Raw genomic sequence first — 27580 nt, forward strand, 5'->3', positions numbered from 1 at the left:
GAAGAAAGAAGGGAGGGAGTAAGGGAGGGAGGGAGCAAGGAGGGAGGGAAGGAAGGAAGGAAGGAAGGAAGGAAGGAAGGAAGGAAGGGAGGGAGGAAATTATGCAAAAGATGTCCAAGAAAAAAGTAAAATATGACCAGTTAATTAAGCAAGTGGTGATTTTCCGTACACTTGTTAGTAACAGAAAATTGACTTACTATTCAATATCAATTTGGAGGGCACTATTTTCATCACTCGCTAAATCTCAATTCCCAAACTTTAAAATGGGATTTGTAGTACTGGATTGCAGAATGTTAGAGAGTCTAGAAAAAAAGAATATAAAGAAACTAATATATGTTTAAGCACAGAATTATTGCTTATTAGCAATATTAAGAGAGTTTTTGGCCTGGCGCGGTGGCTCACGCCTGTAATCCCAACACTTTGGAAGGCCGAGCCAGGTGGATCAGGAGGTCAATAGATCAAGACCATCCTGGCCAACATGGTGAAACCCCATCTCTACTAAAAATACAAAAATTAACTGGGCGTGGTAGCACACGCCCGTAGTCCCAGCTACTTGGGAGGCTGAGGCAGGAGAATCACTTTAACTCAGGAGGTAGAGGTTGCAGTGAGCTGAGATCACACCACTGCACTCCAGCACGGTGACAGAGTGAGACTCTGTCTCAAAAAAAAAAAAAAAAAAAGAGAGAGAGTTTTTACCTAACTATGTGTTATTATAATATGTCATGTTCTATTGCTGTAACACAGTTAAACCACATGTATTTTTTTTTTCAAATTAATAAGCTTTAAGTCTGATGAGTTTGCTAGTAAAGTCTCTCTTGATTCCGTGGTTCTTGCAAACAAAATATAAATTCTAAAATTGTCAGTTTTCAAGGATCATAAAGTAGAGCTTACAAGACCAAATGCTTGTTATCATTTTGGTTTGTTTTAGAACTTATGTCTCATTTTTAATTTATGCTGTTTTACATATCTTCCTCTAGGCATTAGTCATTATGTCTATAGTTTTAACAACGTTAATATTTAATTTATGTGTTCAGTAAATGAATAGCATAATTCAGGCACCCACACGGAAAAAAGTCCAAAGAATTTCAATAGCACTTTAATTCGGTTATATTAATAAGAAAATGGGCAAATAGAATATTCACATGGGAATTTTTTGTGATACTTATGTAATTTTTAAAACTACCAACTAGACAATAAAGTAGCTAGTTGTGGGTGGGTGAATACATCAGTAAACAGGAGTAGACTCACAGTGCAGGAAGGATGCTGGAAGAATGGTTAAAAAATAAATTTTTCACCGAAGGCCTGATATGGCCAAAAAGAAAACAGAGACCTAGGGCAGTGAATAGATTTCTTACGTTGTTGTTGCCATGCCAAATGATCTTTAGTTTTATATCAGTAGCTATCACAGCTCTAAGTCTATATCTAGAACCTCTTAAATGAGGGCGATGAATGCTCTGATTTGTAAAGCTTTAATAATGTCAGAGGAAAAGATTGCATGAGAAAGAAGGGTGACCTTGTGATGCCTGGTCTTTCCTGGTTCTCCAGGAAAAAGAAAAACTCATTATGGAAATGACACCCATGGAATGAACATTCATCTTAAAAATGAAGAGTAGAGAACTCTTTGACTTTCTGCTGACATGCTCTTTCTCCAGCCCTTGGTTTAGTCACTAGAGTTGGGCCTATATCAAAGATTGGGGACAATAAATGCCTACAACAGGTGACACCAACTGATCCTGCCAAGAGAAGATGCTGTGCCCAAGACATGTTGCCAAAGGAAGCTTTTTAAACATCCAAGTGAAGGAAAATGAAACAGAAAATTACATGGCAGCTCACGTGTGGCCACCTCAATGAAAATGTATGCCATGAAGGAACTGAATCCACCAATTGTGGTTCTCTAGAAGGGCACAGTAAAGTGGAAAGAAGACTGAACAAATACCCAGAAGATCCTGATTTTTGACTCATATCAGTATTTCACTGGATTTGTGAGACTGAGTAAGACACTTGCCTTCCCTGAGACTCAAATAGGGATAATAATGGTCAGAATAGGTTGACACACAGTAAGCACTCAAAAGTATTATTTGCCATAATTAGTATTTTATTAATATAATCTTCTAAGATTATTGTGTTGAATAAAAATGCATATCTGAAAGCCCTTATAAGTTGCAAAGCATTATGTAAACATAAGGAGCCCTGTAGCTTATTGTAGATGACAACACCAGTATTCTACCTGGCTATAGTTCTCTGAGCCTTTAAAATTCAGATGATTTAAATATTTTCCAGGGTACAACACTAAGTGGAAATTTTAAAACACACATCAAAATCCTTTCCTTCATAATGACTGCAACTAGGAAAAGAAATTACTTATGTATACAGACAAAGACAGGATGGAAACATGAAAAGATGAAAATAATTGGATTTGCTAATGGTAGTAGAAATGAGGGTTATTCATTTTTATGTCTATGTATTTTAATCTGTTCTTTAAATAAAAAACAGCTTCAATGTAAAAATAATAAAATACAGAAAGTTAAGCTAAGAATTGAGATTTACATTGGGAGTACACTGATGCCCTATATATAGTAATAATGATAATAACAGTAGTTTAATTTATTGAGTAATTTCTATGGATTAGGCATGGTGTTGAGTGTTTTACATACATGGATCTGTCTAATCATCACACCAACACCATGCACACACAGGAACACATGAAGAAAATAAAACTCACCAACTAAGTAACTTGCCAGTTTCCAGTTGGCAACTGTAGAGTACAAAAGTGCTTTGTGTGTAACAGCCTATGAAAATATTGGCTTATTTAATCTGGGAAAAATAAGTGGATTAGCATTCTTCCAGCTCTTTAGTGGTTTTGGAAAAATTAAAGAAAAATATTAAGTCACTGATCTGAGTATTTTCACTTCCATCTCATTTGCTCCTGCCCCTAGTATGAGTCTCACCAACTTCCCATTTTTTTGTGCTTACCTGTATGCTCGCTCTTTTGCCTGTAAATTCAACAACAGAACTTGAACTTAAAAGAGTACTCAAAGACAATTCAACCCTCAGCCTACAGACGAGGAGTAAGGCCTAGAGAGATATGGAGGAGTTCACCAAGTCTGGGTGGAGGAAATAACTGAAATGGCCATGGAGGCACCTGTCATCAGTTACTGAAAAAAGGAAAATACAAATAAAGCAATGGCTCTAAACATAGCCATGGGCCCCTCAGACACTATTTCACAAAGCACAGCTAACTTTCCAGGAAAGAAGGAGGGCACAGAAAGCACCCTTCTTAAAACACATAGATAGGCAGACTGGGGAGCCTCAACCACATCCCATCTCCAGTGTTACTAAACTGAAAGTAAAGTCAGCTCTAAGGTCCTTTCTTATTCTGTGCATCTCATTTGCTTTTTCTTCTGTCTTGTTTTTGAAACTGGTGTTGCTATTATTGGACATATCTAAAATAACAAAGAAATGGAAAACTTTTCTACAATTTGGAGGTCAAAAATAAAATACCTATTATTGCTTTGTTCAAAGGATTTGAGGATGTTTTACTGAAGTTGATGGTTATAAGCATTGCTACCTATGCAAAAACCAGCTGATTTTCAGTTGGAAAATTATCATGACCTTCTTCAATAACAATTTTTGAGCACAATCCCTATACCCCAAGACTGGGCCAAGCATCAGGACTGTAGAGAGTAATTAGACATAATCCTTGCCCTAGTCTAGAGAGTAAACATTCAGTGATGATAGGTGCTTCCTTATAATGTGATAAATGCTCTAGTGGATGAATGTACAGAACATTGGTACACAGAGACAACTAATGTTTGATGAGAGTTAAAAAAAAAAAAAGAGTAGCAGCTTGTAAAATAAAAAGAAAGCAAACATCCCTCCAAAAAGTGGGACAGAATTCTTGAAAACTATGAAGGGATCAGTTTTTGAGAGACACTGTAAGATAAGTTTAGGGACATGAGCTTTGGAATCAGTGCTCAAGCCTGGCTCTGGCTCTGTCTCTTGCTGTCTATGGTGAATTTGAAAACATAGCCAAAATCCTTCTACTCTTCTCTATAAGAAGACTAGAGGAAAAGAGGTAAAGAAACTGACTCAAACTTTTGGTTAGAGGACTTTTCAGCCCCTCTAATCAAAAGGTTGGTTCTGTTTATTTACCTCTTGCATCTAGCCTTTGCCATGTCTCTTGCTTTGTGACAGAAGCAGAGGTTTGGCAAGCACTTGAGCACTAGGGCTTGTCCTCTCCTTGGGTTCCTGGATCCTTGAGACCACCATGTGAAAAAGCCCGAGCTAGCCTGCTGAAGGGAAAGAGACTGTCAGGCCTGGCAGACGACTTCCAACATGTGAGTGAGCCCACTGAGAGTAGAAATAGAATAGTCCAGCTAAGCCTGTGCTAATGGCTTACTCACAGACTACTGAGTGGAGTAAATAATTGCTGTTCTAGTGTAAATTTTGAGGTGTTTTGTTATAGAACAAAAGTTAATTGGTATCCTCAGTGACTTTGGATAATTTGCTTCACCTCTTTAAACTTGAGTGTCCTCATCTGTAACATGAAAATAATAGTAATTGTCTCCTAGTATTAACTAAAATAATGCATATGAATTATTTAGTATAGTGCTTAGTACACGGAAAACACCAGATAAATAGTGGCTAATAGTATGATTATGTTCTTATACCCAGAATTTCATTCAGCCAGAGGTCAGTGTTGACTCTAAAGGATGTGTATGCTCAGTAACTACTAGAGCCACACAATTGCCTGGAACAGATTTTAAAAGGAAACATTGGGGATTTTTTTGTTTGTTTGATGTTTAAGCTTATCTCAGTGTTTCATACATTAGTTAATAGGTTTAAAAAATTGAAAAATGTTATTTGGTGATGTGCTCTGTTTTTGTGGGGTGTTTTTTCCCTAAATTCAACTTTTTTTCTTTAACCATCGCTTTGACACAGCAGAGTGTTAGCAGGTGAATTTTCTACTTTCTGTGACTTCAGCAGCATGTACGTGTTCCCAATTCATCTCCCATGGGGCAAGCATGGGAAAAATATTGAATTAGATCACAGGAAGAATATGTGGATTTGCTAATGACTCTGAAAAAAAATTAAGTGCTAAGTGGTTCGATTCTTTCCACTTCTCTATCTTGAACATCAAGTCTAACAGAATTAATTTTCTAAAAATTAAAATTCTGTCCTAATGGAATACAATTAGAAAAACATTCAAACTTTCTCTTCAATAGTGTAGCTTTAATTTATTTCAAGTAACTTCAACTAATATCTAATAGCTATGAGTGTTTATATCCAACTAAAGTCAGAAATGGACATAAATTTAAGCTAGCAGCAAATACACTGTAATAAAGAAATTTTAGCTTCTTAAAATTAGTTATATGCTAATATTTTACAGCTATCTTTGAACTGAGCTCCATCTACCCTCAATGCTCCCCTCAGTGGTAGAAATCTTGAGATGCAAATCCTTGCTCCAGGTAACATGTTTATCCTCCATGAAAGAACTATCAAAAGAACATCCAGGAATGCATTACCAACTGCTGTTTCCTAGTAGGCAAGAGCATTATTACAGCTTCAGTCTGAGCTTCATCTGAACCTGAAATATAAATGCAAGAACATGTGTAAGGGCTACAAAAACCAAACAGCCACCATAAAAACAATTAATGAGGGAGATTTTAATGAGAACCTTGTTTACGTTTGTAACATCAGTTCCTCCAATTTGTTTGAATTAATTTACACCACAGAGTCTAATCATGTGTGCCTCTAAATGAAAGATAAGGTGCTTAAATCACAAGAAGATGTCTGCATCTCCCACTCATATTTTGAATCCTAGCAGGGTGCTCAATTTGGAGGCCATATAATGTACAATAGCGTGACTCTATAATCAGAATGCCTTTGCTTCATAGCTTTGTGCTTTCAGGCAAGTTGTATCGCCTCTCCGAGCCACAGGATTCTCATCTGCAAAGTGAAAATAATAATATAATAATATTACCTCTTAGACTTAAGCAAGATAATGCACATAAAAGCACTTAAAACAGTGACTGTTGTCACGGGTGTGACTACCTGGGGCTGGTGTCGCAGGTGGTAAGGGAATTTGCCAAGAGAGTTGTATGTAAAGCAAGGCAGATTTACTAGAGAAAGTATGAAATACATTGCAAGGTTACAACAGACAGTACAATAGAGAAGGGGCTATCTGCCAAGAGATGAGGGACTGGAGGGAAGATTTATAGGGTCATGCTGGAGGGGGCTATGTGTGGAACAAGGTCACTGTGACCATGGGTTGTTTGTGATTAGCCATCTCTCAGAATAACTGTTTATTGTTTCTCCCCACAGGGGACCCTCCCCCACCTGGGAATCCTTCCTCAGACTCCCCTTTTCCCCTCTGACAGAACAACAATGACAAGTCTTTGGCACTAGGGCAGTGGTCTTATCCTCCAACTACTTCCTGCTGGCCTTGGGTGTAGAGTTGACCCTAACTATGGCTGTTGGTCTGTCGGGAGATCCTGTGGGTCATTGTCCTGGACTGTGGGACTTAGGATATTGGATCTTGCTGGAGGAAGCGACTCATCAGAGATGGGGAGCATGTCAAGGTGAAACTGGTGTCCAGCTGAATCCAAGGGAGATTTGTTCAGTTAGTGAGCATCACTGGGGAGAGACTGATATTCCATTTGCAGCATTATTCGAAGGTGAAACTGCTGAATTCTAGAAGACACAAATTTAACAAGTAAGTTGAAGATGCAAGGGCCAAAAAGAAGGAATAATAAAATGCCTGTTAGTGACACAAGGAGCAACCAGAAGAACCATCCCCAGGTGGATGTCCATGAAGACCATCCTTGTGATGCCTTTTCCTCAATTTCAGTGTTTTTTGATAGGGTCCCACACTATTCCTGCTTGATTAATATAAACATAACAATCTTCTTTAAGGGCTAAACAAATGCCCCCCATGGGCTGCCATAAGTAGATTTAGGCCATGGTTGTTTTAAATAACTGCTGCTAGGGGGTCTACCTGATCTTGGAGGACTTCCAGAGTGTCAGAGATGCATTTGAGCTCAGGGGTGAGTTCGATTGAGAGGGCATGATAAGTAGGGACTGCAAGGCTCATACGTGTTATTCTTGTACCTAATCCAGTGGCAATTCCTAGGCCAATGAGTAAGGGAATCAGATGGATGGCCCATTTTTCCCCACTAGAACTGTAAAGTGGAATTGGGAGGGATTGATCAGAAGGAGCAATTTGGATGTCTGGAGCTAAGTAAAGTAGTGTACAAGTCCCAGTCCAGTTGGCTGGAAGACAAATATATGCATTTGATTCTCAGAGGAAGAAAGCTCCCTTAGATTTAGGGGAAGATGTTAGACTTAAAGTGAAGAAACAGTGTATTTTGGCCTTCTGACCTGAAGAAATACTGAATAGCTAGTGCATAGTTGTAAGAGGCTGTAAGGCTTGGATATTACAGTTTGCATTTGGTGGGTTTCATTTTCCCAGAATAAATGAAAGCATTGAGCATCTAGAAACATCTGAGATTTGGGGCTGCTGAGCACGGGAATGTGTAGGCAATTATTTGGGGAATTTGAAACCTTGCAATTTTGCCATGGGACTGGGTCAGAACAAGTGTCTGGAGAAGGGCACCTTGTGCAGTAGTGAGACTTTATGTTTTGGAGATTTGGGGAATTGAGGGCAGCTGGGCCTGATATTCTAACTGGTACTGAATTGCGTTTTCCCTCTGATATGTTTTTCTATTGGTGATACTTATAGTTACAGTGTAGTTTTGAAGGGAGTTAGGAATATTACCCTCAGGATTGGAGCAATGTTCATTATCTGTTGTTTTAAGACAAATAGGAGCTTGATGTTTGGGTTGGACTTGTTTAGAAAGGGGGCTTACAACAGGGTTTGGAGTCTACCATTGTCTCTCGGCTCAGTACCAGTCCTTCCAGAGGGTTGCTGTTTTTAGCTTGGTTGTGTATTGGCTTAAATAGGCAGAGAATGCAGATATTATGCCTCATGCATGCTTTTTAAGGTCCCATGGGAGTTGGGGGAACAGGAATTTAGGGTACCAGGTGGTGTTAAAATGGATCCAATCCTGAATAGAAATAGGGAATGCAGAAGCATACCTTTCAGGGGTTAGTGGTAAGCAAAGCCAAAAATCCTTTCCATGCAGAGAATGTTTTTCCCTTAATAGCTTATGGGCCCCTTCAAGTAGGGTACAATCCATGAAGCTAGGCAGAGTAAGGTTCACTGTAAGTGTTAACGCTAAGTGGAGAGACATCCAAATAACTGGGATGAAGCCTGCCATGTTAAAAGTAACAAGATATAATGAATTCAGGGAGACAAGAGAGAAGAGCCACAAATATAAGAAAACAACTGGACAGAGTCCTAGAACTTCTGCAAACCTGTGTTGTGGGGTGGGGGTGAATGATATAGCTAAGATACATATAAGGAAATTTAGTCCAGGTGGAACTCCTGGAAATTACCCTGAAGACAGCAAGTTTGGGTGAGTTGTTCATAAAAGCATTTATAGCAGAAGACAAAGCTGACCATGGAAAACTTCTGAGTACTGGCTTAAGGACTGTAAGAGGATGAAGTAAGCCCTCTACATATTAGGGTGGATATCACTGGAGTTCAGGTCCCACCTGAACAACAGATGAAAGTCTCCAACTGGTTCACAGGTTTAAGTGTTCTTTGTTGGGTGCTGGTGCCACCTTGACCCTGAAGAGGTAAATCCACAGAGAGGCCTTGGAGATTTACAGCTGTTGGGGTCATAAGGAGAACTTGGTATGATCTAATCCAAAGAGGCTCCAGTGGCTTTTTGTCCTTTGGGACGACATACCCAGTCTCCAGGCATAAGATTAGGGTGAGTGTCTCCTGAAAAACAGGGTTTAGGTTTTGGGCTATGAAAATTCTGATAATGATTAATGGCCTTGATGGTTTGTCCCAGGGGTATAACATATTGCATGAGATAATGACTCTTTGGTTCTACCAAAAGATCTATTGGAGGAAAGATCTTCCATAGAGAATCTCAAAGGGGCTGAGTTTCATATTTTGGAGTGATATGGACTTTTCAGAGTGCAATGAGGAGTAAAGTTGGCCATGACTGTTGGATTCCATAAATTACCTTCATGAGGTACTTTTTTATGGTTTGGTTGGCTCTCTCCACGTTCCCAGAAGATTGTGATGCCAAGCCACATGCATGGTCTGGAAAGCACTGATTCCCTGCATTATTTGAGAAATAAAAGTGGGGCCATTGTCTGACTATAGGGTATAAGGGAGCCCAAAATGAAGAGGAATGTGACCTAAAAGGGCCGAAGCGACTTCTAAGGTCCACTTGGTTTTAGTGGCAAAGGCCTCTACCCATCCAGTGAAGGTGTCTACAAAAACTAACTAGTACCTGAGTCCCTTGCATAGTGGCATGTACGTAAACTCTATTTGTCAGTCTTCTCCAGGTAAGGTCCCTCATTTTTGAATTGGTTGAAGGAGTAGGGAAGGTTTGTGGACTCCCTCTGGGTTTATTTGGGAGCAGGTGAGACAGGCCTGTGAGATGGCCCATAGTTTGGGCTACCCTCTTGCTGGTAAACAGCAGCTTTATTACTCTCTGGAGGGCCTTAGCCCCTAGATGAGTTGATTGGTGTAAGCTGTTTAGAAGCTGCCATTGTGAGGCTCCTGGAAGCAAGAGTTTCCCATCAGGACCTTTTAAGTCAGCCTTCTGAGGTATGGGAGAAACCCCTTTCTAGAGCTTCTGGGTTTCCTCCTGTGTATAGTGTGGAGACAAGGGAGTTAGGGTGGGAACTAGGACAGACTAAAGGGGCAGCCTGGCTGCCAGTTTTGCTTGTTTGTCAGCCTGGTTGTTCCCAATAGAGATTTCATCATTGTTCCTCTAATAGGCTTTGCAGTGAATGATAGCTAATGTGAGGGAAGCATAATTGCCTCCAACTTGGCCATTATTTCAAGAGCATGTTTAATTCGAATATTTGGGGCCATTAAAAGCCCTCTTTCCCGCCAAATGGCTGCATGGGCATGCACTACATGAAAGACATAGGACAAGTCTGTTTAGATGTTAAGCCTCATGCTTGTCCCTAATTGTAAGGCTCAGGTAAGAGCAATGAGCTCAGCCTTTTGGGCTGAGGTAGTGTCTCCTGAAAGGGGTCTAGATTTTATGACTTCAGCTAGGCTAACAATAGCATAGCCTAACAATCGGGTTCCACCTGTCATAAAGTTATTTCCATCTGTGGCCTCAGGATCTATAAGAGATATATCCAGGAGGTCTAGTCTAGCATTACAAGTTAAATCTATGGTTTCCAAGCAAGAATGTTCAAGTGGTCTCTCTACATTTGGGTCAGGTAACAAGGGTGGCAGGATTAAGAGTTTGACAGGGCCTAATACTCAATTCTGGTACCTGTGGAAGGAGTGTTTGATATTTGCTAATACAGCTGTCTGAGATCCAGTGAAAGGCCTTTGAGTTTAGGACATCCATTACCTGATGTGGGGTGTATAGAGTTATTCCTTGACCCAGAGTTAGCTTGAAGGCCTTCTTAACTAGGAGAGCCACAGATGCTAGCATTCAGAGGCATAGAGGCCATCCCTATGCTACTAGGTCAAGGGTTTTTGATAAGTAAGCAATTGGCCGTTGAGAAAGTCACAATGGATAGTGAGGATTCCAAGGGCGATACCCCTTCTTTCAAGTACAAACAAGTAAAAAGGCTTTCTAAGATCTGGCAAGGCAGGGCTGGGGTGGAGGTGAGTGCTTGTTTCAGGGTTTTAGGGACATTATTTATTTCAAGGCTCCAATTTAAGTGTTCCTCCTCTGGTCTTCACAGTGCCTTATACAGAGGTTTTGCTATAATCCCAAACTGGGCTATCCAAGTGTGACAGAAGCCTGCCATTCTCCAAAAGGACCACAGTTGCTGTCTAGTGAATAGAATGCTCATGTTTAGGATAAGATATTTGCAGCACTTTGAGAGACCCTTGGACCCTGGGGTTAATGTTTGTCCCAAGAATTGGACCTCCTGAGAGGAGATTTGAGCTTTGGAAGCAGAGACTTTATAACCACAGGAGGCCAATCTCTGAAGAGTTTTAGTAGTATTTAGGTCTGAGACGTGTTTGGTTGGGCTGAAAATAAGCAGGTCATCAACATTTTGAAGCAGGACACTATCAGGGAGAGTTGAAGGGTGAAGAGATCTTTGTCAAGAGCTTATCAAAATAGGTGTGGGCTATCTCTAAATCCCTGGGGGAGGTCTCTCCAGGTTAATTGTTAGGAAACATGATTAGAAGGGTCATCATTCAAAGACAAATAAAAATTCAGAGTCCAGGTGTACTGAAATGCAAAAGAAAGCATCTTTTAGATCTATTACTGTGAACCAAGAAGTGCCAGAAGGAATTTTGCCCTAGCAGGCTGTAAGGATTGGGAACAATTAGATGTATTGGGATTACTGCTTCACTGATGGCCCTCAGGTCTTGTAGTATTGTATAGGTGCCGTCTGACTTTTTTATTTTTTTATTTTATTTTATTTTATTTTTTGAGCCACAGTCTCACTTTGTTGCCCAGGATGGAGTGCAGTGGTGCAATCTCAGCTTACTCTAACTTCCATCTCCCAGGTTCAAGCTGCTGCAGCCTCCCAAACTGTCTTTTTGACTGCCCAGATGGGTGTATTATGTAATGAGTTACAAGGGCAGAGTAACCCCATGGCCAAAAATTTCTCTATTAGGAGGTGTAAGCTTATTTGAGTTTTGGCTTTAAAGGTTATTGGGGCATCCTAGAGAAGGATTTGGGACTTTTAAGGTGGATTTTTATAGGATCTGTGAACAATGAACAGATCCTATAAAAATCCTTCCTGAAGTGGAAGTATCCTATACCTCTGAAGGAACGTATTGTAGAATAGAAGGCTTTATTATCTTTGGGCTTTCGGTGTCAGGGGCTAGTAAGCTTAATAATGGGCAGGAAAGCTCAGACAATTGAAGTTTGGTTTGGATCTTTGTCATTATGTCCCTCCCAAGTAGCGGGATTGGGCAACTGGCAAAGCAAGGAAAGAATGGGTGAAAATATTTTTTGCAAAGGTACATACTAAAGGAGAAGTAAATTACCCCTGTTTTAGCTGGCCATCTCTGCTGGTAAGGAGGATTGAGGACTGAAAAGTAGGTCCAGGAAAATTAATTAGGGCAGAGTAATCTTCTCCTGTATCAATCAATAACTCAGTTCTTCTTCCTGCCACGTCTAGGGTTACCAAACGCTCAGCCATAGTGATGGAAAACACAGGAGCCTAAATGGTTTTGGGGACCTGTCAATCTGGGAAAGAGAGGGAATGGCCCTTCCTGGGACTCATCCCTTCTTCCCTTTTGTTCCTATTGGTTTCCTCATAGTTGAGGAGCAGAGTCAAGCATTCTTTGCCATTCTCTCAAGTTGGCCTGCAATTGAAGTTGCTAGTAAAGGGTGACCTCCTGCATGAGAGAGAGAAAGGAAGTCCCATTTCCAGTGCCCCACTTGTTTGCAGTGTGGGTAGGGGCCAGGTGGCAGTTGCTGGGGACCAGATAATGGCTGGAGAGAGTTTTGTCAGTGTTGGCTAATATTCCCTGACTGGTACAATGATAGCAAATGGGGGCCTCCCTTATTGGCTGCTGGGCTGTATCCTGATGGCTGACCCAGGGCCTTTGAGGTAGGCAGGGAGTTAGCAACAGTTGTGCCCATATAATGGGCCTGCTGCTTATCTCTTTCTCATTCCTTCCGATCCTGTTCAGTTCTTGAGACCTCCTCTCAATTATTGAAGACCTTGAAGGCCATGTCCAGCAATTTGAGGAAAGGAGTTTGTGGTTCCTTATCTAGTTTTTGGAGTTGATGTCTAATGTCTGATGACGCCTGGCTGATGAAATGAATAGCCCAGATGGTGGGCCTTCTGGGCTTTCAGGGTTCAAATAGTATATTTTCTCATAGCCTCAGCCGGCCTGAAATGGAATAGGGCTAGGTTTTTATTTGATGCCTGTGTTATTTCCCTTAGTGTGACATAATTTACAGGTTTTATGGTGGCCTTCTTCATGCCCTCAATCAGGCAAGTGGTCATGTGATTATGATGTTCCTTGCTGTGGTCTCCCTCTTGACATCACCACCTAGATCAGTGTCATGCACTGTGGTTCTCCCAGGGCCAGACTCCTGGGGATTTGGGGAATGTACCTCATCTGCCCATCTTTGGGCCAGAGACCAAATGCAGGATTTTTCCTTGTGGGTGCAACAAGTGGTGAAAATAATATAGATGTCCTACCAAGTGAGGTAGAAGGAAACAGCAAAGTCTTTAAATTCCTTCATGAAGTGAGAAAGGTCTTGGCTGAAAGAGCTGAGCTTAGTTTCTATTTGGAAAAGATCAGATATTGGGAAGGGAATATGGACTCTGATGGTTCCTAGATTCCCATTTGCCACCTCCTGGAGTGGCAGAACTTTTTCTGGGCCTGAAATGGGATCCTAGGTGGCCCCTGACTTGTATGTGAAGGGGAGAAGTGTCCTGATAAGGAGGAGGCAACAGAAAATAACATCCAAGGTTTGGGTGTCAGGGGGAAGGTGAGGGAGAAGGAGCAAATGCAGACAGTGTAATTGGATGTGAAGGTGGCTTGTTAGGGAAAGAAGGCGTGATCTCAACTTGTCCAGCCGGGTATGGAGAATGGTAGAGAGTAAAAGAAGGATCATCGAAATGTAAGACGAGTCAGGGGGACCAGAGAATCTAGCCATGCACATTCAACAGGTTTTGTGGAGATTAGCATCCTGAAAGTCATGAAAACCTGGACATTAAGAATTTCAGACCATTTAGAAGAGTTGTGACAGAAAAGATCAAGCTGTAAAATGGTATTGGGGCAAGGGTCCAGCCTGGAGACCGGGAGGATTCCTGATCTGGAAGTTTATAAAGTGGCCATACTGTATTACACAAGAAAATTAGACATTTCTTTTTAAGAGTCTGAGTGTCAAATTTATCCCAATGCTTTAAAATGCAGTGCAGGGTTAAGTCTGAGAGAATGGATGGGGCTTTGTCCCATGATGGGACTGGGGAAAAAAAAAAATCCCCTGGGAACATGAACTGCAATTTCTTTTGAAGCTTCCTGCAAAGGAAGAGGGCTCCACTAGTCTTTACTTAAGGACTTCAAAATGCACTTTCCAAAGAGATATTCCATCTATTGGAAAGGATCTCTCAGTGATAGAGCCTTACATTGGATGAACACTGGGTAAGAGACCCAAGGTCAGTCCAGGTACAAATTACACTGTTTGCTCAATCCAGGTATGCCAGAAAAACGTTGAGGGAAGACTTATCATCCTGGTGCTGTTTGGGATCACCTGGCTTAAGACATCTGGAGCAGGATGGCTGGCTGTCTTCACAGGAGAGTTTAGAGTGAGAAAGAGGGAGTTTATGTTCTCCAAAATGGGTGTAGGTTCACCCTGGTTGAACTTCTGCTGCCAATTGCACTACACATAAGGGATTGGAGTCTCTTGACCAGAAAAGATAACAGAAAGCCTGCCTACCTTCCTTGCAAGGCAGGCAAACCTGTTCACCCCAGGCCTTCAGGCTGTACCAGGGAGTGGCCATCAATTTCCAGAGGGATACTAGAGTTTGTCCACTAGACGACTGAAAAGGAAAGAACACTCTGAACTCTCATCTGATCAGGCGATGGCAATCAGACGTCTTCCCACCAGGACCTCTGGTCTGCCTGGGAGTGGCCCTTGCCAGGGACCTTCAGTTGTCTCTGGACTTGAACACTGACCACCAAGAGTCTGGAATTGGAGGAGAGGGAAGGGATAGAGTAGTAGAGAGGTCCCCAAGAAGGCCCCATACAGGCCACCAAAATGTTACAGGTGTGACTAGTTGGGGCCGGTGTCACGGGTGGTAAAGGAATTCGCCAGGACAGTTGTAAGTAAAGAAAGGCATATTTTTTAGAGAAAGTATGAAAATGCATTGTTAGGTTGCAACAGGCAGCACAGCAGATAAGGGGCTATCTGCCACGAGGTGGATGGGAGGAGCTGCAGGGAAGTTTAATAGGGTTGTGCAAAGGTTGGGGGGTCCTGGAGGGAAGTTTAATGGGGTTGTACTGGAGGGGGCTATGTGCTAAACAAGGTCATTGTTTGTGATTTCTCATTTCTCAGAACAATTGTTCATTGTTCTTCCCCACCTGGGTCCCTCCCCTACCTGGGGTCCCTTCCTCTTTGTTGCTTACTTATCAAGACTCCACAACTGGCACATAATCGCCACTCAATACATACTCACTGCTGTTGTATAGTAAGCTTGACCCTTGCTGAATGTTTCCTGTGACTAAAATGCAATGGTCCAGATCATGTTTGTGGACAGCTGTAACAATCACTGCAGTGGGAACCTCATTTGTTACAGGTTGACAGTACTGAGGGATCTCATGTCAAGTTGTCAGTGACCAAATGCTATTGAAGTGGTTTAAACGTTTCTCCCCTCCAAAATTCATATTGAAACTTTATCCCCAATGTGGCAGTACTGAAAGGTGGAACCTTTAAGAGGTGATTGTGTTATGAGGTCTTAGCCCTCATGTACAGATTAATGGATTAATAGGTTAATGTGTTAATGGGTTATCACAAGAGTGATTATTAGTGGCTTTGCAAGAGGACAAAGAGAGACCTGAGCAAGTATGCTCAACCCCATCACTAGATGATACTCTGCACCGCCTGGAAACTCTGCAGAGAGTCCCCACCAGCAAGAAGGTCTTCACTAAATGCAGCCCCTCACCTTGGACTTCTCAGCCTTCATAACTGTAAAAAATAAGTTCCTTTTCTTTATAAATTGCCCAGGACCAGTTACTCAGTTATAATAAAAGAAAACAGACTAAAACAACTATTATATGGCACTATATACAGTCTTGGGCTGTGTGATGTGGAATCACGGATATGTAAGTCCCAAGAAGAAGGAATTGCTGAGGTAAGATGCAGCCTGGATTTGAGCACAATTCCCAGGGACACATGGCTAATGCAGAAGCCTGAACATGCCTGCAAAATGCAGCATGCGAGTGTCTTCTATCCAGGGTATAAGACACTACGTATAGAAGTGGTTCCTTTGCATAGGTCAACCCCACATCTGATTACTAACAAAATGGAAGTAAAGGTGACTGATGATGAAAGGAACATTGAAGACATGGGAATTGGAGTGTGGTGGTGCCTATTGCGGAAACAGTGTCAGGTTATTATTAGAGAAACCAAGAAACACAAACCGTTCAAATTACTGACTGCTTCTGTTTCTGCCCAATATCTGCCCAATAGTCCAGATTGCTTTTAGGGAGGAGAATATTGACTGGAAAATATTGATCACAAAGATGATTTATTATAAAAGAGGAATGGCATTTAGAAATTACATTAGAGCATTTTGGAAAAACTCTATAATGTGTTGCTGTGGTTGTTAATTGTCACATGGATTTTTAAACAATGGAGTCGTGTCTTAGTTAATGCATGCTAGCTTCACAGTACTGTCATATTATAATTTCTAATGAGTGAAGTTTATAAATTATCCCACTTTTCTGAAATGCTTGGTTTTTTTCTTTTACTAAATAGATTTGTGGCATTAGTCAAATATTCCCTATATGACGAGATAAATATTCTGCCCTTTCCTATTGTATGTAATTTTCACAATTGCAATTTTTTGTGTGAGATAATGCTATTCTCTCATTGATATTTTTATTGATCCTACTTTCAAGGGTTCACTTTCCAGAAAAAAAAAAGTAGCCACATGACCATCTCACATCATCTCCAGACAACTTTACTGGCATTTGGCCTGCTGAGGAAGTACAGGCAGTTTTAATTTCCTTCTCTTAGATACTGCGATGAAAATAACTTTGAATTTCAAGGTTTGTCACTGTCCATTGTCAGTAATTCTTCTATAAATGGTCTGATTTCCCAAGTGTGTGAATTGTAATTGGTCCACAGTGAAGAGATGCTCAACAAAATAACTTTAAATTTAAAACAATACAAATTTTCTTTAAAAGATTTTGTTTTTATATTATTAAAGTCCTAGAGCCTTAAAATTCCCCAGTATGTATTCCTAATTATACAATAATTCCTCTTTTAGGTTCACAATTATTTTGTTATATGTCATAATAATTAAGAATAATCTATCCAATCATTTACATCCCTGAATAAATATACTGTGACTAGCTGAACACCCCTAATAGCATGTCCCATGTATGTGCACAACACAGAGAGAAATAGAAATGTTGTCTCTGAGTTGGTATTTTATGAAGCAAGATGATTACACATTTTTTTAAAAAAAGATAAAGGTTTTCTCCAAACATTTACACAAAGCAGAGTCTTTCTTAATTTTTCTCCCCTCTCAACAGGTATTAAGTTTCATTCTTTTATTTTTTATTTCTTTTATTTTTTACAAGAAAGGCCAGAAAGGCTGAAGAATTAAAGGCTGAGTGTTGAGAAGAAAAAGTTAAAAAAAAAAAAAAAGTATAATAAAAGACAGGAGATGTCACTTGGTGGAATGACTGGGTAACAAGGTTGGATGACTTTGAGTAGGCTAATCACTTGCTCAGCTTTCTTATTGGTGAAATAAGGAGAATGCACTGCTTTAACTCCCCAAGATCTCTTCTATCCCCAATAGTCTGGGACTATGTAATGTAAAATCGGGGGAAGGAAGCCCCAAGAGGAAAAAAGAAACAAAAGAAGAAAGCAAAGAAAGATTATAGTTTCTTCAGCCTCCTAAGAATTCTTAGAGTAGATACAAGAGTTGAGGGTTTATTTTCAATATACAAGAAAGTGAATGGAGTAAAAATTGTGCATTTACTTAGGGATAAGCTACCAGTCAGATTATCTTCAAAACTAGATTTCTTCTTTTAGTAGTTGTGAAATCACCTGAAGTAGGAAGACAAGTTGACCTAGAAGCTCTAACTGAAAGATAGCTAGGTAGACAGAGATATAGAAGAAGAAAAAACAGATGCATAAAATGGAGATAGATGATAGATAGATAGATAGATAATAGATAGATAGATAGATAGATAGATAGATAGATAGATACATAATAGGTAGATAGTCAATAGTTTCTCAAGCAAAGGAATGTGACTTTTTAAAATGTCCTTATAATAATGTAGGAAAACAAACCTTAAGGTGTCTGCTCACTCATTCATCTTATGAATATTTAGTAAAATAGTGGGAGTAAAAAGACTTCCTTGAGATTCATGGTCTCTATTGATTTATCTTTAGGTTTGCTGATTCTTTTTCCAGGTAAGAACTACTGTTAAGCCCTTTTGGTAACTTTTCATTTTGGCTATTGTACTTTTCAGTTATAGATTTCTTTGTGTTTCTTTCTTAAAACTTACTTTTACTGATATTCTCTATTTGATGTGACATTGTCATCATACCTTATTTTAATTCTTTAAACATGCTTTCCTTTAGTCCTTTGAGCACATTTATAATGGCTGCTTTGAAGTCTAATTCCAACACCTGGGCTCCCACAAAGACAATTTCTATTGTTTGCTTTATTTTTCCTATGTATAGGTCACATTTTAATGTCTCTTTGCATGTATCATAATTTTTTGGTGAACACCAAAATTTGCCTGTGGCCATATCATCCCAAACATGCCCAATCTCATCTGAAAGCCAAAAATGTTAGTTAACATACTGTAGTAACTCCTGATACTGATCCTTTCCTTCAAGGCTGTGGTCATTGTTTGTTTATTTGCTTGCTTATTTGTTAGTGACTTGTCTATACCAGTTCAGTGAAGTCTATTTCCCACTTACTTGAGCCTCTGACAGCACTGTTCTATTTTCCCCCCTTATTTTTATCTTTAAGCCTGGCTTCTTAGGGGTCATCACCATTTAGTGGTTAACCATTGATTGTTCAGTGATTTTGCTTAACTCTTCTGAACCAGGAAGATTTTCACCTTTTACCTTTGGATCTATGTATGGCTTGGGGATTGCTTTCACCATTCAGGGAGTTTGAGTTTGCACAGCATTCAGTCAGGGACTTGAAACTCAGATGCTCCCTCACCAGTCACTCATGGCATGAGCACAGGTGGGTGTGAGTCACCCTAGATTCTCTTTGACCATCTCTTTCTCTGATCTCTGCAGAAGACTTCAGGCTTCTGCTTCTATTGGTATTACACTCATCTCATAATCTCTACTAATTGCTACTTGACTGCTCTATCATGCTCTGGAAAACCCTGGGATATAAATTGCCCAATAGTCTAATACAGATAAAGTCAGGCTCTGTGGCAAGAGACAGTATTTTGTCAGTTTTGAGGCTTGCTCTGACCATCCCCCAGACAGATGCTCTATGATATGGAACAGAAGCTTGAAGGGGAGGAGGAGGGCTGGATATCCTACCCATATTTTCCCAACTGAGCAGAAACTGTGGGAAAGGGTACAAGGAGAGCCATGAATTGCTATCACTGCCCAGGAGCCACTGCCCACCCACCACCACTGCCTGGTATAATTCTTCTGCAATCCAGGCCAGGGACGATGGGATCTGCCAATGTTCACCTGTTCACCAGCTGCTAAATGTACACAGAACAGCTCTTCCATGCTAGGAATTTAAGAGAGATGGAATCTACCACTGAGATGCAAGGATTCAAAAGACATCAGGAAAAACAATTTTGCTATATCAAATATTGGGATAAAGAATATCATCAATAAAGATATTACTTTATCAGATTAGCATAAATTAGGACATCAAAAGGTAACAAATGTACATAAAGAGCAGGGTAACAGGAGAGAATCCACAGACCTTTTGAAGGAAGCAGCTTGCCTCTGTAGGCTACCAGAGACAGCCGAAAAACTCCAAAGATAAAGGACATAATCTCTTGGGAGCTCCATGGCCTAGCCCACCACCTGAGAAACTTGAATGCTTATCCAGGTGACCCTAGGGCAAGCATGTATCCTCCATATACTTCTGCAGCTGATGTTCTCTTAAAAGTGGTACCTCCTGACTGGAGGGCAATCAACAAAAAACCAGCACAATAGACAAAACTACAACCAAAGACCCTCACAGAGTCCACTTCACTGTCCTGCTAAAGCCACTGGAGCAGGTGCTGGTATCCATGGCTGAGAGACCTGAACACAGATCACATCACAGGACCTTTTTCAGACACTCCCCAGTACCAGTACAGAGCCCAGTAGCTCTGCTGGGTGGCTAGACCCCAAAGAGAAATAACAATCACTGCAGTTTGGCTCTCAGGAAGGCCCATTCCTAGGGGATGGTGGAGAGCACTACATCAAGAGAGCACCCTGTGGGACAAAAGAATCTAAACAGCAGCCCTTGAGCCCTAGATATTCCCTCTCACATAGTCTACCCAAATGAGAAGGAACCAGAAAAACAATCCCAGTAATAGGACAAAACAAGGTTCTTTAACGCCCCCAAAAGATACACTAGCTCACGAGCAATGGATCCAAACCAAGATGTAATCTCCGAATTGCCAGAAAAAATAATGCAGAAGGTCAATTGTTAAGCTACTCAAAGAGGCACCTGAGAATGGTGAATACCAACTTAAAGAATACACAAAAATGATACAGGATATGAATGGAAAAATCTCCAGAGAAATAGATCGTATAAATAAAAAACAATCACAACTTCTGGTAATGAAGGACACACTTAAAGAAATGCAAACTGCACTGGAAAGTCTCAACAACAGAATTGAACAAATAGAAGAAAGAACTTGAGGGCCCCTTCAAGAGATTCAAGCCTTCCTTGCAAGGCTTTTGAATTAACCCAATCTGACAAAGACAAAGAAAAAAGAATCCAAAAAATGAACAAAGCCTCCAAGAAGTTTGGGATTACGTTAAACAATCAAACCTAAGAATAATTGGTCTTCCAAAAGAAGAAGGGAAATCTAAAAGTTTGGAAAGCATATTTAATGGAATAATCATGGAAAACTTCCCTGGCCTTGCTAGATCTAGACATCAAAATACAAGCAGTTCAAAGAACACTCAGGAAATATATCACAAAATGATCAACAACAAGGTACATAGTCATCAGGTCATCTAAACTCAAGACAAGGAAAGAATCTTAAGAGCTGCAAGGTAAAAGCATCAGGCAACCTATAAAGAAAAAAACCTATTAGATTAACTGCAGATTTCTCAGCAGAAACCCCACAAGCTAGAAGGGATTTGGCGTCCTATTTTTAGCCTCATTAGACAAAACAATTATCAGCCAAGAATTTTTATCCAGCGAAACTAAACTTCATATATGAAGGAAAGATACAGTCTTCTTCAGACAAACAAATGCTGACAGAATTTGCCAATACCCATCCAGCACTCAAGAACTGCTAAAAGGAGCTCTAAATCTTGAAACAAATCCTCAAAATAAACCAAAATAGAACATCCTTAAAGCACAAATCTCACAGGACCTATAAAACAATTAAACAATGAAAAAAAAAACCAAGGTATTCAGGCAACAACTAGCATGATGAATAGAACAGTACTGCACATCTCAATATAACATGGAATGTAAATAGCCTAAATGCTCCATTAAAAGACACAGAATGGCAGAAGAGATAAGAATCCACCAACCAGGTGGGTATGATGGCTCACACCCATAATCCAAGTACTTTGGGAGGCTGAGGCGGGAGGATCACTTGAGGTTAGGGGTTCAAGACCAGCCTGGCCAATGTGGTGAATCCCCACTCCACTAAAAATACAAAAATTAGCTGGAGGTGGTGGCACATGCCTGTAATCCCAGCTACTCAGGAGGCTGAGGCACGAGAATCGCTTGAATCCAGGAGGTGGTGGTTGCAGTGAGCTGAGATTGTGCCACTGCACTCCACCATCCTGGGTGATGGAGTGAGACTCTGTCTCAAAAAAAAAAAAAAAAAAAAAAAGAATTCATTAACCAAGAATCTGCTGTCTTCAAGAGACTCACCTAACACATAAGAACTCACATAAACTTAAAGGGGTGGAAAAAGATATTCCATGCAAATGGACATTATAAGCAAGCAGGAGTAGCTATTCTTATAGCAGACAAAACAGACTTTAAAGCAATAGCATTTTAAAAAGACAAAGAGGGACACAATAAAATGATAAAATGACTAGCCCAACAGGAAAACGTCATGGTCCTAAATATATATGCACCTAACACTGGAACTCCCAAATTTACAAAACAATTAGTACTAGACCGAAGAAATGAGATAGACAGCAGCACAATACTAGTGGGGGAATTCAATACTCCACTGACAGCACTAGATAAGTCATCAAGACACAAAGTCAACAAAGAAACAATGGACTTAAACTATACCCTAGAACAAATGAACTTAACAGGCAGTTACAGAACATTCCACCCAACAACTGCAGAATATTCTTTCTATTCATCACACATGGAACATTCTTCAAGATAGAATGATAGGCCACAAAACAAGTCTCAATAAATTTAAGAAAATTGAAATTATATCAAGTACTCCCTCAGACCACAGTGGAATAAAATTGAAAATCAACTCCAAAAGGGATACTCAAACCATGCAATACATGGAAATTAAATAACCTCCTTCTGATTGATTGTTGGGTCAATAATGAAATTAAGATAGAAATGTAAAAATTCTTTGAAGTGAACAATAACAATAACACAACCTATCAAAATCTCTGAGATACAGCAAAAGTGGTGCTAACAGGAAAGTTAGCATTAAAACCTACATCAAAAAGTCTGAAAGATCAAAAATAAACAATCTAAGGTCACACCTCAAGGAACTAGAGAAACAAGAACAAACCAAACCCAAACCCAGAGAAAAGAAATAACAAAAATCCGAGCAGAACTAAATAAAATGGTAACAAAAAATTACAAAAGATAAATGAAACAAAAAGGTGCTTCTTTGAAAGGATAAATAAAATTGATAGACCTTAGTGACATTAACCAAGAAAAGAAGAGAGAAGATCTGAATAAGCTCAATTATAAACAAAACTGGAGATATTACAACTGATACCACAGAAATAAGAAAGATTATTCAAGGCTATTATGAACACCTTTACACACACAAACTAGAAAACCTAGAGGAGATGGATAAGTTTCTGGAAATATACAACCCTCCTAGATTAAACTGGGAAGAAACTGAAACTCTGAACAGACCAATAAAAAGGGGCAAGATTGAAATGGTAATTTTAAAAATTGCCAACAAAAAAAAAAATCCAGGACCAGATAAATTCACAGCTGAATTATATCAGACATTCAAAAAAGAATTGGTACCAATCCTATTCACATTATTTCAAAACATAGAGAAAGAGGATCTTCCCTGAATCATTCCGTGAAGCCAGTATCACCCTAATAACAAAACCAGGAAAGGACATAACAAAAAAAGAAAACTACAGACCAATATCCCTGATGAACATAGATGCAAAAATCCTCACCAAAATACTAGCTAACTGAATCTGACGGCATATCAAAAATATAATCCACCATGATCAAGTGAGTTTCATACCAAGGATGCAGGGATGGTTTAATTTACACAAGTTAATAAATGTGATACACCACATGTATGTGTTTTGTTTTAAACGGGATTAAAAACAAAAATCACATGATCATTTCAATAGATGCAAAAAAAGGATTTGACAAAATCTAGTATTCTTTATTATTAATACCCTAAGCAAAATTGGCATAGATGGAACATACCTTAAGGTAATAAAAGCCATGTATGACATGTATGCCATCTATGACAAACCCACAGCCAATTTTACACTGAACAGGGAAAAGTTGAAAGTATTCCCCTTGAGAATTGGAACAAGACAAGGATGCCCACTTTCACCACTTCTATTCAATGTATTACTGGAAGTCCTAGCCAGAGCAATCAGACAACAGAAACAAATCAAGGGCATCCAAATTGGTAAAGAGGAAGTCAAACTCTCACTGTTTGCTAATAATATGATCACTTACTTAGAAAACCCTAAAGATTCATCCAAAAAGCTCCTAGAACTAGTAAATGAATTCAGAAAAGTCTCAGGATACAAAATCAATGTAGACAAATCAGTAGCACTGCCATACACCAACAATGACCAAGCTGAGAATCAAATCAAGAGCTTAGACCCCTATTACAATAGCTGCAGAAAATAAAATAAAGTAAAATACTTAAGTGTATACCTAACTAAGGAGGTTACAGACCTCTACAAGGAAAACTATAAACATTGCTGAAAGAAATCATAGATGACACAAACAAATGGAAACACATCCTATGCTCATGGATGGGTAGAATCAATATCGTGAAAATGACCATTCTCAGCTATAAAAAGGAATGAAATAATGGCCATTGTAGCAACCTGGATGGAAACTGAAAACCAAACATCACATGTTCTTACTCATTAGCGGGAGCTAAGCTACAAGGATAGAAAGACATAAGAATGATACAATATAATTTGGGGACTGGGTCAGGGGAAGAGTGGGAGGGGGTGAGGAATAAAAAGGCTACACTTTGCATAGAGTGTACACTGCTTGGGTGACGGGTGCACCAAAATCTCAGAAATCACCACTAAAGGACTTAACCGTCTAACCAAACACCACCTGTTCCCCAAAAACCTATTGAAGCAAAAATAAATAAATAATAAAATAAAATAAAATGAGATGGAGATCCCCCCAAAAGTGCTTACTCATTGTAAAAATTCTAAATATCAATGAGAAAAAGGGTTTTTTACAATAGGAAAATAGGAGAGCATTTATAAACAATTTGTAAACAGTCATATTTATGATATAAAATATGGAAAAATTAAAATATAAAAGCAGTTGAATGTAATAAATTATTTTCAAAGGTGACAAAATGCTCTTGTATATAAGACGCTTACAATAGTACTTTTCCAAATAGAAATCTGAAACATAAAATAAACAGATATCAGTGTTTTAATGACAAAATGCAAATATTATCATGTGTAATAAGGTTGGAATTCCAATATGCACAAGAAATTTTTCATTAAAATTTTTGATAAATTAAAAAAAGCAGGCTAATAGAATATCTCTTGAACTACTAATGGGAAAGCAAATGGTGTAATCACTTTGGAGAGAAATCTGATTGTACTTAATCAAATTAAATATTCATGTAACAATGATTTGATAATCAATTCCTGCTAAATGCAAGGGAATATTTAAGGCCAGAAACGTTTGTGTTACAGGAAGTCAAAATCAATTCTCAGGGCAAAGACCCTTAATGTATACCAGATCATCTATATGATCTTCCCCCATATTTCCCAATCTCTGTCTACAAGTTCTGGCCAATACGCTATGAATGGATATTATTTTTATCACTTCTGGAGTGAGGCAACTAAGAGTCACTTTCCCTTCAGCAGTTACTGCGAGAACCACATATTTAAATTGCAGAGCTACAAAATGTAGTGCTCCTGGATGTCCAAATCAATGCCTGGTGAAAGCCTTTATCAGTCTACTTTGGACTTAAATGAAAAAGGTGTAAGTCTTTTGGGGCTAATCCGCTAATGTGGGGGTTTACTAAATTGGGAGTTTATTTACTATAGTAGCAGAACCCAGCCTAACCTAAGGTAGTGTCATAACACGCACAAAAAAAAGGGAATATAATAAATATAAGTGAGTTCATGCAATAGAATACTATACATCAGATAGAAGTAGGTTAACTAGATGACAACCTGGACAGATATTAAAAATATAGGCTAGCCTTTGCAACCTCAGTCATGCAACACACAGTAACATCAGCTGGAAGAACTAAAGCTATCTAAGAACACTTCAAAAGAATATGGGGATAATGTTTTTCCCTGAGAACGACTAAGAAAGCTCCTTTGGGCTCAGTTCTACCTGTTCCTTTTGTAGAGGGAACACACAGTGCATTGAATATGATAATGGTGCCAACACTAAAGTGACTATATGCTATATTATCCACACTGGAATTATTTTGAAAGTGAGCCAATTCCCAAAATAAAATATTTCATATATATCTATATATGAAATCTTATATATGTACATCCATATACGAAATCTTTCTCATATATATCTACATATATATATCATATCACACACACATATATATAATATCCTATTGGTTCTGTTTTTCTGAAGAACCCTGACTAATGCATGTCCTTTTCTGTCCTAGAATCTCATCTAGGATACCACATTACATTTACTTGTCACATCTCCCTAGGCTCCTCTTGGCTGTGACAGTTTCTCAGTCTTTCTTTGTTTTTGATGTCCTTGACGGTTTTGAGGAATACTGATCAGGTATATTTTGATGCTCCTCAATTTTAATCTGTCTGATATTCTTCCCATTAGACTTTGTTTATAGGTTTTAGGGAGGAAGATCACAGAGGTCAAATGCCATTTTCAGAGCATTATATCAAGGACACAGGCCCTCAATGTGATTTATGACTATTAATGTTGACTTTGATCATCTGGCTAAGACAGTATTTGTCAGGTTTCTTTACTGTAAATTTACACTTTCTTCCCCCTTTCCATGCTGAACTATTTGAAAGGAAATCACTCTGAAACTCACAGTGTGAGTAGAGACTTATGTTCTACTTTCTTAAGGTCAACCTATCTACAGAAATTATTTGGATTTCTGCAAGGAAAATTTGTCTCTTCTCCCAATTTATTTATTTGTTCAATTATTTATTTATATCATGAGTTTGAACTCATTAATATTTGTTTTATACATTTGATTATAATTCAATATACTGATTTATTTACTTTGTTGCTCAAATTATTTCAGCTTTGGTAAGTGAAAGCTCGTTCAGTTGGCTCCTGTGTCTCTTTGACGACACACACCTACCAATATATTTTTGTGTTTTTTTTTGTATGCTGATTTGTTTGTTTGTGCACTTCCTTAACTTCTGACATTACACAATACTCCAGGCTCATCTTATGTGTTTCCTGTCCCAGTCCTAGAAACAGCCATTTTTCCAAGAAACACTGGTTCCTTTTAATGAGAATGGTATTAAAAACCAAGATATGGGTACTTGTGTCTCTTATCACAGTCTACATCCTTTCCTGAGGTCCCCAAACTCCTAAATAATTTTAAAATTTTTGCATACCTTCAGGTTCACTTTCTGTGCTGTAAAGTTCAAAGGGTTTTAACAAATGCATAACCTCACATACCTATTATTACAGAATCATACCAAATATTTTCATCACCCTAAAAATTCCCTATGTTTTACTTATTCATCCCTCTCCCCAACCTCATAGCCCTTGGCGAATACTAACCTTTTTACTATTCTATATTGTTTTGCATTTTCCAGAATGTTACATAATTGGAGTCATACAGTACGTGGGCTTTTAGTGTCTTCTTTCACTTAATAATATGCATTTAATGTTTCTCTACATCTTTTCATGGCCAGATAGCTCATTTTATTTTATAAATGAATAATGGGCTATTGAATGAATGTACCACAGTTTGTTTATCCATTCACGCATTGAAGAGTATCTTGATTACAGATTTTGGTGATTACGGACAAAGTTGTTTTAAATAGACACATGCGGGGTTTTCTGTGTGTGACCATATATTTTCAAATCAGCTGAGTGTGATTTCTAGATCATCCAGTAAAACTATGGTTAGCTTTGTAAGAAACTGCCATGTTGTCTTCCAAAGTGGCTGTACCTTTTTGCATTCACAAAGCAATGAGCGAGAGTTCATGGTGCTCCACATCCTCCTCATCAACATTTGCAATTGTAAAATTGTTTAGATTTCAGTCATTCTAAT

At 39.1% G+C, this 27580-nt stretch overlaps 1 long non-coding RNA gene across 1 annotated transcript in view; it reads right to left on the minus strand.

The window, feature by feature from the left end:
- Positions 1-5729: 5729 nt before the first annotated feature.
- The window catches only part of LOC124906227 (uncharacterized), a 119636-nt gene continuing 97785 nt past the window's right edge, over positions 5730-27580 (minus strand). Inside the window, exon 3 of the long non-coding RNA XR_007095868.1 lies at positions 5730-6693. This is a non-coding gene — a long non-coding RNA (uncharacterized LOC124906227). The remainder of the gene's footprint in view (positions 6694-27580) is intronic.

This window comes from Homo sapiens, chromosome 3 (genome assembly GCF_000001405.40).
Source record: "Homo sapiens chromosome 3, GRCh38.p14 Primary Assembly".
Taxonomy (NCBI): Eukaryota; Metazoa; Chordata; class Mammalia; order Primates; family Hominidae; genus Homo; species Homo sapiens.